Source organism: Homo sapiens, chromosome 12 (assembly GCF_000001405.40).
Source record: "Homo sapiens chromosome 12, GRCh38.p14 Primary Assembly".
NCBI classification, from domain to species: domain Eukaryota; kingdom Metazoa; phylum Chordata; class Mammalia; order Primates; family Hominidae; genus Homo; species Homo sapiens.
This window is the reverse complement of record NC_000012.12, coordinates 105,770,373-105,789,297: the sequence shown is the minus strand read 5'-3', so window position 1 is coordinate 105,789,297 and position 18,925 is coordinate 105,770,373. Positions and strand designations below refer to the sequence as shown.

The following is an 18,925-nucleotide window of genomic DNA, read 5'->3' as shown; positions in this document are numbered from 1 at the left end:
CTGAAATTCCTTAAAATATTCCTCTTAGAATTCTTTATCTAGTTATTATTAAATAGCTGCTGGATAATTCCCCAAACAACTTTGTCTTTATTAAATATATTTGGTTGAATTCCAACTTCCTTCGTTTTTTTCCAATTAATCTGCCCTTCTGGGGGATTCACCTGTGCATTAAACATTCCCTGAGAATCTACCACTGTGCACCACGTGCTGGAGATTCAAAGGTGAGTGAGACTCAGTGAGGTTGTGTGTGGCTGGCTGTGAAATAATGACCTACATGAAAGAAGGACCAAAGGAGAGAAGTCCAGGTTATCATGGACTGGTGGGCCTGGCTTTTCTGGACAGGACAGAACTGGAATTTTCACTACTCCTCGACTTATTTATTTCCTGTGACTTTCTTGGAACATTGTCTGAAAGCCTAGGTACCTAGAAGAATGACACCCCCTGCCATCACTACCACTACCCTCCACCATTATCTTTGCTATACTAATATACATGGGTAGAGGGATAATCAGCATTAAAAAGAGTGCTTTCACATTCTTTCATCTTCACAATAACCCTATGAGGCAAGATTATTACAGGTGAGGGAGTAGAGGTTCAAAGAGAAGGCTATTGAACTCAGTATGTGACTGAGCCAGGATCTAAACTTTTGTGAGTCTATTCCAAAGTTCTCCTTCTTTCCTCCATAGCATGATGCCTTTGTTGTTTTTCAGAGTTAGTTTAGGGAGATTTGCAATAGGCTTCAGCCTTCAAAGGCTTTTATAAGACTCATGATGGAAGATATTAGAGATTGGCTAACCCAACACCCATGCCCACCCCTTTCTGTCTTGTCTTTCCCCACTACAGAGGCTGGAATAGATAAAACCTCAATTTTCTAGTCTCCCTTGCAGATAGGGGTGGCCCTGTTACACAGCTCTGGCCATGAGATGTTTAGTGTTTCTCTCCGTTCGGTGTTTCTGGGAAGAGTCTGGCTTTTCTGACAAAAAAAATGTGGCACGTGGCTGGTCCTGTCTCTTTACTCCTGGCTCTTCAGCTGGATTTGAACTTGATGTCTGGTTCCAGGGCAGCTTTCTACAACCATGAGGGAAAACCAAGAAAATCACAGAGATGCTGGCCCTCGACTAAGGTTTCTGTTTAAGAAAATATGAAAACAATAACAAAATACTCTTCTGTTGGTTTAATCCACTGTCAGTTAAATGTACTGATATTAACATCCAGAAGTGTTGCTAACTGATACACTCTCCTTTGATATAAATAAGAACATCATAGACTTTTATAACTTTCTTTATTCTAAGCAGTAGGAGGAGGTTAAGAGCATTATCTTAATTATAAAAAGTGATTCAGATACTACTGGGGATAGTGTTCCACTTTTGATAGACCCACTTATTTTTACTCTTGCAATGTTTAACTTCATATTCAGCCTCACTTGAGGCTGACTAGCGGCTACTGTATTTGAGCAGTCAACATTCATGCGTTTTCTATTTACTAAGGCATTAGCAGAAACATAGACTGAAATATATACCACCATATAATATATCCCAGATGTGTTATTATATTTTTTAAAGAGAAGGAAAGGATATTTGGAAGAATAAGTAACCAAAGAGCATTTTCTGTCAATCTCATTGGGGTTGGTGGTAACTCATCAGGGAGAAACAAACCAAACTTGGAATTAAAATACACTGGGATTAAGATCTGGTTCACTTTGTTTAAATTCCACAAGTAATCCTTGAGTCTTCCTAGAGCCAGATTACCTGTGTTAGCTCCTCTCAATAGCTCTATGGCTTTCTGGTTGTTATCCCAGTGTTAAAGAAAATTAAAGGAAGGTTAATGGGCTGCAGGAGCTCTAGGTCACAGAGAAGCCTGACTGGGATTCCATCCTGGCCCGTCTTACTCTACAGTCCACATGATTGCTGCTTTCCAATATTTCAAAGGAAATTACAATGTCTGTAAACAGAAAAAAAAAAAAAAAAAGCATTACTTTTAAAAAGCAAAGGCTATTCTGTGGAAGGGGACAACTTTTTCTAGATGGCTCCAGTGAGTGGGCTACTGACATTTTTTAATAGGTGGACATTACCAAAAGAAGCATTTTAATTCTGCTAGTATCATCCAGAAAAATCTCTGTTTCCTGCCAGTTGTGCTTTGGGCAATATGGTAGATGTGTCTCTAGATGAAATAAATAAAAAAAAGATTCTTACCTATTCTGGAAAGAAAAACAATAAACTCACTGAAGAATTGGAATCCCTACCTATAAAGTGATTGTACATCTATCTTTGTGGTAGTCTCTGGTTTGGGGTCATATTCTGAACAGTTGAGGTTGGCTGATAGCCTATTTCTACGTAATTGAGTGAGCAGAGAGAGAGGCAAGTTTACAGTCGGAGTTATTCCATCAACCCATTCCTCAAACTCTTCCACAGTAGATTGTATGGATTTATGAACCATAAGAACCTAAGGGGTGTCCATCACAGAAAGGTAAATTCAGGGCCTACTGTCATCCTCCACACACGCAGGCCAGAAGCAGATACATACCTGCCTTATTCCATGGACTATTTTCCCTTTTTGAGATTCCCATAGGGCTCTTTGGATTTAGGGAGTGAATGTTAACCCTCCTATAGATTCCTGAGCCCTGTGAAATGACTCGTTGAGTAAGGAGGTAAAATAATGAATCCTCTAGGATGGCTCTACATTTTAAGGCAGAGAGTAGCTGCTGGGAAGTTCTCCTTGTATGACTCTCTCAGTTGTAGTTACTGGCAAACTCTCCAGGTGCTAGCATGTGGATACTGCTTAAAATTTAATCTAACTTGATACTCTCTCCACAGTCTACAACTGGGATAGCTGGATTTCACAAAGAAGAAACCCCAGACAGCTAGAACTTTACTCATTCTACTATCCATGAAATATTAAAAACATATAGCTCTCAGGAGGCTTGGAGCCTGTGCTTACAAAAAGAAGTAGATGAAAGTAGGCTATAAATTACTTCACCTGGATGGGCTTGGGCCCAAGGCATCCTAAACTTTCAACAACATGCAGATGGAGGAGAATGGGGAAAAATCTACTCAATAAATCCAGCATGGGTGGGGTTACTAATTAAAAGCCAGCCAGAGAGGATACTCAGGCCTTGTAGATGACTATATAATGATTTTATCCCATTCTGGAAGCTGCCCAACAGAAGAGTGAGGAACAGTTGCAGGAAATTCTTGCCATTTACTCAGGAGTCATTGAGATAGAGCCAAAGACTCTCAACCTGAAATTATACAGAAAGACACGTCCCAGAAGTCAGGTCATCAAATGCAGAATCCAGTCCCCAGGGAATGGGGAAGTCGAGTATCACAGGAGGGCCCTGTTGAGGCTGGCTGGAGTTGCTGGACACTAAGCACAAAGGCTCAGAATTAGAGGGGATGTTTAGACAGAAGACCATCGTATGGCCTGGGTCCACTTAGGCACTGGGAGAGCTAAGATTTGAATATCAGAGCTTGCTTCCAGTAGAAAAGTCCTGGATCTACTTGGCAGCCAGGAGAGTCCAAGGGTCTTCATGGGAGCTGAAACAGTCCACAGTCATGCCCCCGAGTTCTGGGACTGGGAGCCTGATTCAACTCCAAACCCAACAAGGGGCAAGATGGAAGCTGTTGATGCAGCTGCTTATGGAAGGAATTGGTTTACCAACCACCCGCTCCCTCCTACCTCCTTGAGGATTTGTCTCCGTCAAGTAGAAATGGACCTCTGACACGTCCATCCATTTCATATCCTCTCTTCTGGTCAACTTGCCTCAAGCTGCCTTGGGTTCTGCTTCCTTCTTCCTTCTGCTCTGCTGATGCATCTTGCTGTTGACATCTCACCTCATCCTTCACCAAACTTGATGCTTGGAACCACCTCTACAGTTTTGACTTTCACTTCCCTGGTCAATACAGTTCAGATCCTGCCTGGCTGTACTTCTTTCATTTGCCCTAGGTAAGTCTGGTGATCTTGTACCTCAGCACAGACCCCTGGGGGAAGCAATCCTGCGGGGGGCACCCACACCCCAGTACAAGATCCAGGTAGAAATTGGGTGGGCTGAGTCCTGCAGGTGAGCATCATCAGTGGACCGGCAGCAAGCTACTGGAGGAGAGAGAGAGGATAGGTGACAAGGAAGGAGTCGGACTTCTGCTCCCTTTGGATCAAGGGCTCACAATATTTTCTGCAAATTACTGATGTGCTACTGTACAGAAGGTCCCTAAGGTTAGGGGATAAATCTTCACCAGGTGGTGTTTTGGGGTCTTAGACCATACATTTTGACACAAGAACAAAGTAAGGCCAAAGTTGGAACAAAGTGTCCTCAGATGACATGAGCTATCTCTCCCATGACACACACACACACACACACACACACACACACACACACACACCCCACTTGACATGCTTGTAGATTACAGCTGCGCATGGGACATGAACACTCATTGCTCCAAGGAAGATGAAAACACCTACTGGAGTTCTTTCCTGAGCTGCAAGTGTGTGACTGCTCGCAGAGCGGGGCAGAGGGAGTTGTGGTGTTTCCCAGTCACCGGTACACTCAACCCCAGGCCTGTCCATGCAGAAGGGAGCCATGGGGTATTCTCACACCAGGCAGCACTGACTTGGGAGCTGGCTCCTTGCTTCCTGGTGCCATTGGCAACTGTCCCACAAACCCTTCCCATCATCCACCAACATACCCAAAACATACTTCAGGGAAATGAAAAAAAACTGCTCCTGCTGATCTCTGTGGTCCCTCAGATCTCCTTAATCATTTCCGGAAATTCTGGGGCAGCCCCAAAGTAGAAGCAGTTCTAACTATGGAAATCACTTCTGCCTGCAGCATCTGTCTTCCAGCCTGGGAGTTGTACCGGGGGTTATTTTTATAGTCTTCAATTCTGCCTCAGGGACCAAGGCTTGAAACTAGCTTAAGAAATTTAGATGAAACAAATTTGCAAGTCTCAGCTGAAATCTTGGAGCAGGTGATCTAACATCTGGAGTACCTAACCGCTCTAAGTGCTTTCTCATCCTTTCAAAAACCATGTTGTCAGCCTAAAAGAGGAAGAGGAAACTGACAAAGTTTTGATGATGCTTACAAGTTGATTTCCTGCCTTCATTCTCAAATAGTTCCGCTGAACTCTTTGGCTGCTGGTTTTAGAAACTATGCTATAAATATAAACAGTAATAATGCTACTGCTTAATATTTACATCAGAGATCCTTCTCCACAGTGACTGCCAGGTGCTTTCCAAATTGTCTGATGTGTACAGTCTGTGCTTGGGTCAGCCCAGAAGTCCACTGTTCCACAGGTCTCTTCTAAATTTTTTTTCAGTGGCTTGAATTTCCACATCTAAAAGAGAAGCACCTGTTCTGCAAGTACTGACTGTCTCAGCTTCCCTCTCCCTTATGCCCCCTTTTAGCGCTCCGATCCCCCTCAGTCCCTCCTGCCAGCACCCATCCAAATTCAAAGTAGTGGATTTAGTAGTAGGTGCAGTATGAGTTGTGGGAGTCAGTGTTGGAAGGAGGATGCAATGGAAGGAATGTTTGTGTTCTCCCGAAATTCATATGTTTAAATCCAAACCCCCAATGTGATGGTATTAGGCTGAGCCTTTGCGAGTTGATTAGGTCATAAGGATCCTTCATGAATGGTATTCGTGCCCTTACAAAAGAGGCCCCAGAGAACTAATTGTCTTGCCTTCTTTCCACCATGTGAGGACACAGAAGTACCCTTTTGCAACCAAGAAGAGGGCTCTCACCAGAACTCAACCATGCTGGCACCTTGGTCTTGGACTTCCAGCCTCCACGACAGTGAGAAATAAATTTCTGGTTTTTTTAATAAGCCACTCAGTCTATGGTATTTTGCTATAGTAGCCAGAGCTGCTTAAAACAGAGGATGTTGTGATTTGCACAGTGAAGAAGGGGAAAGGTGCCTTTTCTTTCTCTACCTGAAGTCCTGATTAAATTTTTAAAACGTCTCTGTAAAGAGTAGAATGATGGTTACCAGAGGCCAGGAAGGGTAGTCGGGGTGGTGGTGGGGAAATGAGAGGGATGATTAATGGGTACAAAAATATAGTTAGATAAAATAAATAAGATTTTGCATCTGATAGTATAACAGGGTGACTACAGTCAACAATAATTTATCATACATTTTTAAAATAACTAAAAGAGAATAATTGGAATGAAATGATAAAGGTTTTCGGTGATGGATACCCATTTACACTGATGTGATTATCATGCATTGTATGCCTGTATTAAAATATCTCATGTGTCCCAAAAATATACATGCCTACTATGTGCCCATAAAAATAAAAATGAAAAAATAGTCTCTGCAATCATCAGGTCCCTGTTGTTTGCCTAAAAAATAAGGGATTTGGACTTATTTTTCTGAGGTTCCTAACAATTCTGATGATGATCATTCTATGAGCCTTCATAACTCACTTTTGGATCATCAAGGTGGAAACCTATTGCTTTTCCTTTGTCCCCAGGTGCTTTTTCCCACCTAACTTGCTATAAAATGAATGTTTCTCCCTGCCCCTCCCAAAAAAAATAGCATGTTTTTTCCTATCATGAAAAATGAAATGTCAACAACAAAAACATATATTTCTGCCATAATTCTACCCGATTTTAGACTGAAAATCTTTGGAGATATATATATATATATTTTTTGAAATAAAAAAACTACACAATCTTTAATGCTGCAATCAGTCTTTTACAAAAGTAGAAATTTCTCTCACTGTCATGAAAAATTACAAACAGAAAAATTAAAAAAATACAGTGAAGATAAATTCACAAATCTTATCAACATCTATTAACATTTTCCCAAATATACCATCTCTCTTTTCTCTACACATGTACAGACACAAATTTAAATATATATATATATATTTGAACTGTTTAAATAAGTTAGAGACAGCATGCTACTTCACTCCTAAAAACTTTAGAATACAGGTCCTAGAATAAGGACATTTACACATATAGCAACAATATCCCTCTAACTTCTAAAAAAATTGACAATAATTTCTTAATATCATCTATCATTCAAGTCATATTCAAATCCTCCCCATTTTCTCCAAATGTCATATTGCTATCTTTCAAAACCAGAAAGCAATAAAAATTTATGCATTGCTTTAAATTATGTATCTTTAATCTATTTTAATCATACGCCTTCTACTTGCTTTTTCTTTGTGATATTGGATTTTTTTTCTTTTTATTTATTTATTTATTTATTTTTTATTATTATACTTTAAGTTTTAGGGTACATGTGCACATTGTGCAGGTTAGTTACATACGTATACATGTGCCATGCTGGTGTGCTGTACCCACTAACTCGTCATCTAGCATTAGGTATATCTCCCAATGCTATCCCTCCCCCCTCCCCCCACCCCACAACAGTCCCCAGAGTGTGATGTTCCCCTTCCTGTGTCCATGTGATCTCATTGTTCAATTCCCACCTACGAGTGAGAATATGCGGTGTTTGGTTTTTTCTTCTTGCAATAGTTTACTGAGAATGATGGTTTCCAATTTCATCCATGTCTCTACAAAGGACATGAACGCATCATTTTTTATGGCTGCATAGTATTCCATGGTGTATATGTGCCACATTTTTTTAATCCAGTCTATCATTGTTGGACATTTGGGTTGGTTCCAAGTCTTTCCTATTGTGAATAATGCCGCAATAAACATACGTGTGCATGTGTCTTTATAGCAGCATGATTTATAGTCCTTTGGGTATATACCCAGTAATGGGATGGCTGGGCCAAATGGTATTTCTAGTTCTAGATCCCTGAGGAATCGCCACACTGACTTCCACAATGGTTGAACTAGTTTACAGTCCCACCAACAGTGTAAAAGTGTTCCTATTTCTCCACATCCTCTCCAGCACCTGTTGTTTCCTGACTTTTTAATGATTGCCACTCTAACTGGTGTGAGATGGTATCTCATTGTGGTTTTGATTTGCATTTCTCTGATGGCCAGTGATGGTGAGCATTTTTTCATGTGTTTTTTGGCTGCATAAATGTCTTCTTTTGAGAAGTGTCTGTTCATGTCCTTTGCCCACTTTTTGATGGGGTTGTTTGTTTTTTTCTTGTAAATTTGTTTGAGTTCATTGTAGATTCTGGATATTAGCCCTTTGTCAGATGAGTAGGTTGCGAAAATTTTCTCCCATTCTGTAGGTTGCCTGTTCACTCTGATGGTAGTTTCTTTTGCTGTGCAGAAGCTCTTTAGTTTAATTAGATCCCATTTGTCAATTTTGTCTTTTGTTGCCATTGCTTTTGGTGTTTTAGACATGAAGTCCTTGCCCATGCCTATGTCCTGAATGGTAATGCCTAGGTTTTTTTCTAGGGTTTTTATGGTTTTAGGTCTAACGTTTAAGTCTTTAATCCATCTTGAATTGATTTTTGTATAAGGTGTAAGGAAGGGATCCAGTTTCAGCTTTCTACATATGGCTAGCCAGTTTTCCCAGCACCATTTATTAAATAGGGAATCCTTTCCCCATTGCTTGTTTTTCTCAGGTTTGTCAAAGATCAGATAGTTGTAGATATGCGGCGTTATTTCTGAGGGCTCTGTTCTGTTCCATTGATCTATATCTCTGTTTTGGTACCAGTACCATGCTGTTTTGGTTACTGTAGCCTTGTAGTATAGTTTGAAGTCAGGTAGTGTGATGCCTCCAGCTTTGTTCTTTTGGCTTAGGATTGACTTGGCGATGCGAGCTCTTTTTTGGTTCCATATGAACTTTAAAGTAGTTTTTTCCAATTCTGTGAAGAAAGGCATTGGTAGCTTGATGGGGATGGCATTGAATCTGTAAATTACATTGGGCAGTATGGCCATTTTCATGATATTGATTCTTCCTACCCATGAGCATGGAATGTTCTTCCATTTGTTTGTATCCTCTTTTATTTCCTTGAGCAGTGGTTTGTAGTTCTCCTTGAAGAGGTCCTTCACATCCCTTGTAAGTTGGATTCCTAGGTATTTTATTCTCTTTGAAGCAATTGTGAATGGGAGTTCACTCATGATTTGGCTCTCTGTTTGTCTGTTGTTGGTGTATAGGAATGCTTGTGATTTTTGCACATTGATTTTGTATCCTGAGACTTTGCTGAAGTTGCTTATCAGCTTAAGGAGATTTTGGGCTGAGACAATGGGGTTTTCTAGATATACAATCATGTCGTCTGCAAACAGGGACAATTTGACTTCCTCTTTTCCTAATTGAATACCCTTTATTTCCTTCTCCTGCCTAATTGCCCTGGCCAGAACTTCCAACACTATGTTGAATAGGAGTGGTGAGAAAGGGCATCCCTGTCTTGTGGCAGTTTTCAAAGGGAATGCTTCCAGTTTTTGCCCATTCAGTATGATATTGGCTGTGGGTTTGTCATAGATAGCTCTTATTATTTTGAAATATGTCCCATCAATACCTAATTTATTGAGAGTTTTTAGCATGAAAGGTTGTTGAATTTTGTCAAAGGCCTTTTCTGCATCTATTGAGATAATCATGTGGTTTTTGTCTTTGGCTCTGTTTATATGCTGGATTACATTTATTGATTTGAGTATATTGAACCAGCCTTGCATCCCAGGGATGAAGCCCACTTGATCATGGTGGATAAGCTTTTTGATGTGCTGCTGGATTCGGTTTGCCAGTATTTTATTGAGGATTTTTGCATCAATGTTCATCAAGGATATTGGTCTAAAATTCTCTTTTTTGGTTGTGTCTCTGCCCGGCTTTGGTATCAGAATGATGCTGGCCTCATAAAATGAGTTAGGGAGGATTACCTCTTTTTCTATTGATTGGAATAGTTTCAGAAGGAATGGTACCAGTTCCTCCTTGTACCTGTGGTAGAATTCGGCTGTGAATCCATCTGGTCCTGGACTCTTTTTGGTTGGTAAACTATTGATTATTGCCACAATTTCAGATTCTGTTATTGGTCTATTCAGAGATTCAACTTCTTCCTGGTTTAGTCTTGGAAGAGTGTATGTGTCAAGGAATGTATCCATTTCTTCTAGATTTTCTAGTTTATTTGCGTAGAGGTGTTTGTAGTATTCTCTGATGGTAGTTTGTATTTCTGTGGGATCGGTGGTGATATCTCCTTTATCATTTTTTATTGCGTCTATTTGATTCTTCTGTCTTTTTTTCTTTATTAGTCTTGCTAGCGGTCTATCAATTTTGTTGAACCTTTCAAAAAACCAGCTCCTGGATTCATTAATTTTTTGAAGGGTTTTTTGTGTCTCTATTTCCTTCAGTTCTGCTCTGATTTTAGTTATTTCTTGCCTTCTGCTAGCTTTTGAATGTGTTTGCTCTTGCTTTTCTAGTTCTTTTAATTGTGATGTTAGGGTGTCAATTTTGGATCTTTCCTGCTTTCTCTTGTGGGCATTTAGTGCTATAAATTTCCCTCTACACACTGCTTTGAATGCATCCCAGAGATTCTGGTATGTTGTGTCTTTGTTCTCATTGGTTTCAAAGAACATCTTTATTTCTGCCTTCATTTCGTTATGTACCCAGTAGTCATTCAGGAGCAGGTTGTTCAGTTTCCATGTAGTTGAGCAGTTTCGAGTGAGATTCTTAATCCTGAGTTCTAGTTTGATTGCACTGTGGTCTGAGAGATAGTTTGTTATAATTTCTGTTCTTTTACATTTGCTGAGGAGAGCTTTACTTCCAAGTATGTGGTCAATTTTGGAATAGGTGTGGTGTGGTGCTGAAAAAAAATGTATATTCTGTTGATTTGGGGTGGAGAGTTCTGTAGATGTCTATTAGGTCCACTTGGTGCAGAGCTGAGTTCAATTCCTGGGTATCCTTCTTGACTTTCTGTCTCGTTGATCTGTCTAATGTTGACAGTGGGGTGTTAAAATCTCCCATTATTAATGTGTGGGAGTCTAAGTCTCTTTGTAGGTCACTCAGGACTTGCTTTATGAATCTGGGTGCTCCTGTATTGGGTGCATATATATTTAGGATAGTTAGCTCTTCTTGTTGAATTGATCCCTTTACCATTATGTAATGGCCTTCTTTGTCTCTTTTGACCTTTGTTGGTTTAAAGTCTGTTTTATCAGAGACTAGGATTGCAACCCCTGCCTTTTTTTGTTTTCCATTGGCTTGGTAGATCTTCCTCCATCCTTTTATTTTGAGCCTATGTGTGTCTCTGCACATGAGATGGGTTTCCTGAATACAGCACACTGATGGGTCTTGATTCTTTATCCAATTTGCCAGTCTGTGTCTTTTAATTGGAGCATTTAGTCCATTTACATTTAAAGTTAATAGTGTTATGTGTGAATTTGATCCTGTCATTATGATGTTAGCTGGTGATTTTGCTCGTTAGTTGATGCAGTTTCTTCCTAGTCTCGATGGTCTTTACATTTTGGCATGATTTTGCAGTGGCTGGTACCAGTTGTTCCTTTCCATGTTTAGCGCTTCCTTCAGGAGCTCTTTAGGGCAGGCCTGGTGGTGACAAAATCTCTCAGCATTTGCTTGTCTGTAAAGTATTTTATTTCTCCTTCACTTATGAAGCTTAGTTTGGCTGGATATGAAATTCTGGGTTGAAAATTCTTTTCTTTAAGAATGTTGAATATTGGCCCCCACTCTCTTCTGGCTTGTAGGGTTTCTGCCGAGAGATCCGCTGTTAGTCTGATGGGCTTCCCTTTGAGGGTAACCCGACCTTTCTCTCTGGCTGCCCTTAACATTTTTTCCTTCATTTCAACTTTGGTGAATCTGACAATTATGTGTCTTGGAGTTGCTCTTCTCGAGGAGTATCTTTGTGGCGTTCTCTGTATTTCCTGAATCTGAACGTTGGCCTGCCTTGCTAGATTGGGGAAGTTCTCCTGGATAATATCCTGCAGGGTGTTTTCCAACTTGGTTCCATTCTCCCCATCACTTTCAGGTACACCAGTCAGACGTAGATTTGGTCTTTTCACATAGTCCCATGTTTCTTGGAGGCTTTGCTCGTTTCTTTTTATTCTTTTTTCTCTAAACTTTCCTTCTCGCTTCATTTCATTCATTTCATCTTCCATCACTGATACCCTTTCTTCCAGTTGATCACATCGGCTCCTGAGGCTTCTGCATTCTTCACGTAGTTCTCGAGCCTTGGTTTTCAGCTCCATCAGCTCCTTTAAGCACTTCTCTGTATTGGTTATTCTAGTTATACATTCTGCTAAATTTTTTTCAAAGTTTTCAACTTCTTTGCCTTTGGTTTGAATGTCCTCCCATAGCTCAGAGTAATTTGATCGTCTGAAGCCTTCTTCTCTCAGCTCGTCAAAGTCATTCTCTGTCCAGCTTTGTTCCGTTGCTGGTGAGGAGCTGCGTTCCTTTGGAGGAGGAGAGGCGCTCTGATTTTTAGAGTTTCCAGTTTTTCTGTTCTGCTTTTTCCCCATCTTTGTGGTTTTATCTACTTTTGGTCTTTGATGATGGTGATGTACAGATGGGTTTTTGGTGTGGATGTCCGTTCTGTTTGTTAGTTTTCCTTCTAACAGACAGGACCCTCAGCTGCAGGTCTGTTGGAGTACCCTGCAGTGTGAGGTGTCAGTGTGCCCGTGTTGGAGGGTGCCTCCCAGTTAGGCTGCTCGGGGGTCAGGGGTCAGGGACCCGCTTGAGGAGGCAGTCTGCCCGTTCTCAGATCTCCAGCTGCGTACTGGGAGAACCACTGCTCTCTTCAAAGCTGTTAGACAGGGACATTTAAGTCTGCAGGGGTTACTGCTGTCTTTTTGTTTGTCTGTGCCCTGCCCCCAGAGGTGGAGCCTACAGAGGCAGGCAGGCCTCCTTGAGCTGTGGTGGGCTCCACCCAGTTCGAGGTTTCAGGCTGCTTTGTTTACCTAAGCAAGCCTGGGCAATGGCGGGCGCCCCTCCCCCAGCCTCGCTGCCGCCTTGCAGTTTGATCTCAGACTGCTGTGCTAGCAATCAGCGAGACTCCGTGGGGTAGGACCCTCTGAGCCAGGTGGGGGATATAATCTCGTGGTGCGCCGTTTTTTAAGCCCGTCGGAAAAGCGCAGTATTCGGGTGGGAGTGACCCGATTTTCCCGATTTTCCAGGTGCCGTCCGTCCGTCACCCCTTTCTTTGATTAGGAAAGGGAACTCCCTGACCCCTTGCGCTTCCCGAGTGAGGCAATGCCTCGCCCTGCTTCGGCTCACGCACCCACTGACCTGCGCCCACTGTCTGGCACTCCCTAGTGAGATGAACCCGGTACCTCAGATGGAAATGCAGAAATCACCCGTCTTCTGCGTCACTCAGGCTGGGAGCTGTAGACCAGAGCTGTTCCTATTCGGCCATCTTGGCTCCTCCCCCTGGAGATATTTTTGTTGTCACAATGATTGGGGAATTCTACTGGCATTAAGGCGGTGGGAGATCAGGGATGCCCCACACCCTGCAGGGTTCAGACAGTGCCTGGCATATTCACAGGTGCTTAACAAATATTTGTTTTTTTTAATTTTATTATTATTATACTTTAAGTTTTAGGGTACATGTGCACAACGTGCAGGTTTGTTACATATGTATACATGTGCCATGTTGGTGTGCTGCACCCATTAATTTGTTTACTGAATGAGCAGGAGCAGGGGCCATCATTCCTGAGGCCTCGCTCCTTAGGGGAGCAACTTGCTTATCTGAGCACCTTCAGGTGGGTCAAGCACACATACAAATAGGGCAATTTCCTCACATAAGAATCACAATCTTTGTACAATTACTCATTCTCCTTCTCTAAGCTGTCACTGTCTCAGGCAGAGACTATAGTTCATGTGGTGGTCATTAGAGCTGTTCACAAGTATTCCCAGATCTCCTCCTTCTGGACATAAAATAAGATGACACTTTCTTACCTTTTTGATGCTAGCTGTGATCATATAACTTGCTTGGCCAATGAAATACGATGGCAAGTGATGCGTGTCATTTCTAGGGGGAGGCTTCAGAGCCAGTGTGCAATTAACCATCTCCTGCTCCTGCCGCCACAGTGGTCATGGATCCTCATCATGAGGCTGCCTCTGAGGGACTGAGTGGCTGGGGAGAGCAGAGTCTCCCTGCCGAGCTGTGTTGGATGGGTAGAATCTAAGTTTCACCATGATAGACTGATAACAGAATGTGAGCAAGGAATCAGGTGCTGTCTTGTTAAGCCACTGAAATTTGGCAGTTGCTACCGCCATAACTTTTCTTCTGACTGCTATAGTCTAATCTGGAGTTTTCAAGGAATCCAGTAAAAAGTATCCCTACTTCTTCACCCAAAAACTGAACAAAATAAGAAATAAGACAAAAAGAAAGACAGATGGAGGCCAAACTCTTAGCTTTATTATTAAGTTAATCCAGACAACACTGGACTGAAGCAGTGATCCCCATGAAGAGTGTAGAGGCAGTGAGGGATGGAGTCAGGGGCAGACCTGCTCAGCCAAGTCTTACAGGTTTATCTGGGCATAGGCTCCAACTCCAGCTAGAGTAGGTATATTATTATTTTTCTAGGGTGGCCATCACTAATACCACAGACTGTGTGGCTTAAACAACAAAGGTTTCTCTTCTTACAGTTTTGGAGGCTAAAAGTCTAGCGTCAAGGTGCCACCACAAGTGGTTTCTTTGGAAGCCTCTCTGCTTGGCTTGTAGATGGTCATCTTCTTCTATTTGTATCTTTATGTGGTCTTCCCTTTGCATGTGTCTGTATCCTAATCTCCTCTTCTTATAAGGACACCAGTCGTATTAGATTAAAGCCTATTCTGATGATCTTATTTAACCTTAATTACTCCTTTAAAGGCCCTATCTCCAAATACAATCACATGTTAAGGTATGAGGGGTTAATAATGAGCTTAGAAATTTGCAAGGGAGGAGGAGACACAATTCAGCTCAGAATGGTAGACTTCTCTGCTGGCAAAGCAACTGCAAAGAACAAGATAGGCGGAGCTGAGATAAGTGTGCCCCATTACAGTCTTTGCAAGTGGACTATTCACATATCACTTATTCCAAATTGACCATTCACCTATCGCTCAACCTCTGGGAGTAAAGGGGTGAAGAGATGCCAACTTTTTCCCACCAGCGGAACTCCTTCCACATGGAGGAAACATCATGGGGAAACTTCCCTGTGGTGTAGGGAAGACATGTGTCCCTACCAACAGTCCACATCTGATTCACCCCTATGCCCTCACAGCCAAGTGCAGGACTTGATTCCTGGAAGGCTCTCAGGAAGACAAAAGAGTCTCGTAAGTGACACGTCTTACATTGTTTTGTCTGTGTTGGTTACAACACTATTGTACCATGTTACTCTTTAGTCCATTTGTCTCCTTTTCGCCTGCTCACCCCAACTGTAGCTCTGCTAGAAGAAAGAACTTCCTAGTATCCCCAACTACACCCTGCATTGTACCAGCAGCTGCCCAGTGGGGTGGTGGCACTTGGAGCTCCGGGTTTATTTTTGTTTACTGAGTTTCTCACACTGCAAATGGGCCTGAGAAATGGAATGTGGTCAAGTGGAGCCTAACTAAGCAGATGGGAGGAGAGTCCTTGAGGTGCAGGGATGACCACTATCTTCCCAGGTAAGACCCCACTGCAGTGGTAACAGCCTCTGGTCCCTGTGATCCTAAATGGGTAGCTGGGTTGGCCTGCCAAGTCCCCCTGCTTTTGGGAAGGAAAATGAACATGAGGGAGGCAAGCCAAACGTGCGTGGCTCTGCCCCAAGAAGCCAAAGTGGCCTTTTGAAAGATTAATGGGGCATTTGGCTCTCAGCTTCTTAACAAGGAGGAAGGGAAAAAGCTTTCTGAAAAACACCAACAGCTTCTGGCAGGGATTCCAGAGGAGGGATTGAAGGCTGCAGGATAGGCCTTGGTGCTTTTTTCCCAACCCTGTTTTTATTTTTTCCCACAGCCTCTCTCATCCTGCTTCTCTTGCTTCCTCTTCTTATTTCTTCTTTGGTGTTTTGGCCTCCCAGAATTATTTCTGCCTTTCCTTTCATTTGCACTGCCATTAAATCTTCTTTCTGTTCTCATTTGTCAGAGGTATGTGGGAAGGGCACTTTGCAAGATAGAAAGACACAAACTTCAGAATGCAGCCTGGGCTTGCAGCTCAACTCCGCAAATTTCTAAAATGTGTATTGAGGACATGGATTGTGTTTGTCCCCTTTTTAAGGGGACGGCCCCCATACACTTCTTGTAGAAATATTCCTCCCTGTTGTGGGTGATTCTGGTGGGGATATCAGTCATGTGGTGGCTGCACTTGCCTCGTCACAGCAGCAGGCATGTGATCAGAGTTCACGATTCTGATTCCACCTGTTGTGCTAATTGGCCCAAGGCAATCAAGCTGGGCCAATCAGGATCCCTCTGGGGATGCCATAAGCTGCAAGGTGGAAGGACCATGGCAGCCTGTGGCTTCTGGGGCCATCTTTCCTCCCAATGGAGGGAAGGCTTCCAGAAGGTGCAGCAACACAGAAAAAAGCCATATGAAAGACAGGGCACAGATGGGGCACCTGGGTCCAGGAAAAGAGCTGGATTAACCTCTGCACGCTGTAGTTTTCTATCATATGAGCCAATTTTCTTTTTCTTTTTTTTTTTTTTTTTTTTTTTTTTGGTTTTTGTTATTCTTGAATTTGTTTGGACTTGGCTTCTGTCACATGCAACCAATAGATCCCCAGTGATCACACTGTGATTCTTTAGGCAACTCATTTAACTTTTTGGAGCCTCAGTTTTCACCTAAAAATGGACTCCTCTAATGCCCATCTAAATGGGGTGTGCCCCAACAAAACATGCTTCCCTCTCCTGTAAGAACCAGCATGTCTTTGCCTTTTTGTTTTTATTTTTGGCAGAGTCCCACTCTGTCACCCAGGCTGGAGTGCAATGGCATGATCTCAGCTCACTGCAGTCTCTGCCTCCTGGGTTCAAATGATTCTGCTGCCTCAGCCACCCAAGTAGTAGGGATTACAGGTGTGCACCAGCATGCCCAGCTAATTTTTGTATTTTTAGTAGAGACAGGGTTTCACCATGTTAGCCAGGCTGCTCTTGAACTCCTGACCTCAGGTGATCCACCCGCCTCAGCCTCCCAAAGTGCTGGGATTACAGGCATGAGCCACCGTGCCTGACAGAACCAGCATGCCTTCTTGCACTCATTTCTGGACTAGACTTTTTCTCCACCAGACAGAGTTGAGGGACTGTCTTTTCAGCACCTGCCCTGGAACAAGGGAAGAGCTCAGCGATTGTTGGTTCACTTCTGTTTTCCCCCCTTTCTCACTTCTTTCAGAAATCTAGTTATAGCCTCTTGCTTATACCTCTTACTTCTTTCCTCCTATTTTCCTTCTTTTTTGGGCCAAGTTTGCAGTGTATTTCCCCTAATCCTCCCACAGGTACATTTTCTTACCTGGGTACTCAGTGTACCCAGTGTACGTGGAAAAATTATGGTCGTTAGTAATTGTTTGTCCAAGTGGTACTGTAAAGAAGTCCTGCTTCAGCTGTCTTTGCCATGGAAGGGCAATTAGCCCACTGTGCCTACAAGTGTCTAGTTGCTGTAAGTCTCACAAAGCTTTAATGCCCAGAAATCATTGCTGGTATAAGAATTTTGTCCACCATAGAGAATTTTAGCTTAGTGGTGAAGCGACCACTCATGAAATTAGTCACGTGCAGACTGTATTTCTACCCATCCTCCCCAAGCCTGGCTGACACAGACTTCTTTTTCTCTATATTTTTCTTTTTTAATTTTTTTTAATTCTTTTTTTTTTTTTAAATAGAGATGAAGTCTCTCTATGTTGCCCAGGCTGGTCTCGAACTCCTAGGCTCAAGTGATCTTCCTGCCTCAGCCTCCCAAAGTGTTGGGATTACAAGCATAAATTATCACGCCTGGATGCAGTCTTCCTTATAAGTGGCATTTTTATATTTCCCTTACATTGGAACATTCCCACACAAACTCAAGATGATCCCAAGGTGGGCATGTTGCCAAAGTCCTTTTCCTCCTTCTCCCCAAACTGCTTCTTTCTCCTGGCTTTCCAGTTTGGGTAAACGGCACCAACCTTCTCCCAGGCACCAGACTTCCAACATGGGTGGTCATGTTAAACATTTTTCACTTTGTCTGCAAGCCATGAATATTCCATCTGAAACCCATCTCCTCTTTTACTGTGATCATACCAATTCAGAACCACTTACCTTTCACCTGTGTTATTTCAGGAGCCTTTGTCTGCTCACGGAAGTGAGCTTACTTGCTCTTGGGAAGCTTTTGGTAGCAAGAGGCAGTTCTGATCCTTAAGTCCATGTTTCCCACCTGCTATGGACTCAGCTGTGTCCCTCTCCCCACCCCAAATTCATGATTCTTATGTTGAAGCCCTAACCCCAAATGTGATATTTGGAGATGGGACTTCTGGGAGGTAATTAAGCTTAGATGAGGTCACAAGGGTGGAATCCTTATGATGGGATTAGTGCCTTTGCAAGAAGAGGCACCAGAGAGCTTATTTTTTCTCTGTCTCCATGCACACACGAAGAAGGGGTCATGTGAGTACACAGCATGATGGCAGCCATCTACAAACCAAGAAGGGAGCCCTCACCAGAACCTTATCATGCTGGCTTCCAGATCATGGACTTTCAGTACCCTGATCACGGACTTCCAGCCTCCAGAACTATGAAAAAACAAGTGTTGTTTAAGTTGCCCAGTGTGTGGTATTTTGCTGCAGCAGCCTGAGCTAAGACACCACCCAAAATTTGCTACAATTAATACACAGATCCAGGAATGAGAGCAGTTATCATAGATGCTAACTATTTGGAAGAACTTCTTTGACCAAAGTCCTCAGCCTCTGAAAAGGACCACTTTCCTTATGAAAATTCATGCTGTCTATACGTTTTTGGGATAAGTCAGTTTCATTACTTATGTGATAATCACACCTCATGTCATCTTGTTTTCAAAAATAACTGTTTAAATTGCTATTTAAATGTGAGATGTATGGTCATGCAGGGGGGTTCTCAGTTTTTCCTTCACCGTTCTGGCTAAAAAAACAAATAAAACAAAACAAAATACAAGTAGCTGAAACATTTCCCTTTTA

The 18,925-nt window shown here is 42.4% G+C and overlaps 1 long non-coding RNA gene across 1 annotated transcript, besides 3 other annotated features; it reads right to left on the bottom strand.

Moving 5' to 3' along the window:
* Positions 1–1,853: 1,853 nt before the first annotated feature.
* LOC105369960 (uncharacterized) lies at positions 1,854–5,375 on the bottom strand. Its single transcript, XR_945310.3, has 3 exons — positions 5,188–5,375; positions 3,676–4,089; positions 1,854–1,941 (listed from the first exon to the last, which is right to left on the bottom strand). It is a non-coding gene; the product is annotated as an uncharacterized LOC105369960 (long non-coding RNA).
* Positions 5,076–5,215: an enhancer, noted in NCBI's record as "active region_6944". NCBI's record gives its function as "activates an Ori minimal core promoter by ATAC-STARR-seq in GM12878 lymphoblastoid cells {active_cell/tissue: GM12878}" and the evidence as "EXISTENCE:reporter gene assay evidence [ECO:0000049][PMID:35858748]".
* Positions 5,256–5,305: an enhancer, noted in NCBI's record as "active region_6943". NCBI's record gives its function as "activates an Ori minimal core promoter by ATAC-STARR-seq in GM12878 lymphoblastoid cells {active_cell/tissue: GM12878}" and the evidence as "EXISTENCE:reporter gene assay evidence [ECO:0000049][PMID:35858748]".
* Positions 12,397–12,962: an enhancer, noted in NCBI's record as "NANOG-H3K27ac-H3K4me1 hESC enhancer chr12:106170114-106170679 (GRCh37/hg19 assembly coordinates)". NCBI's record gives its function as "activates a minimal SCP1, AML or CMV promoter by ChIP-STARR-seq in primed H9 embryonic stem cells {active_cell/tissue: H9 hESC(primed)}" and the evidence as "EXISTENCE:reporter gene assay evidence [ECO:0000049][PMID:30033119]".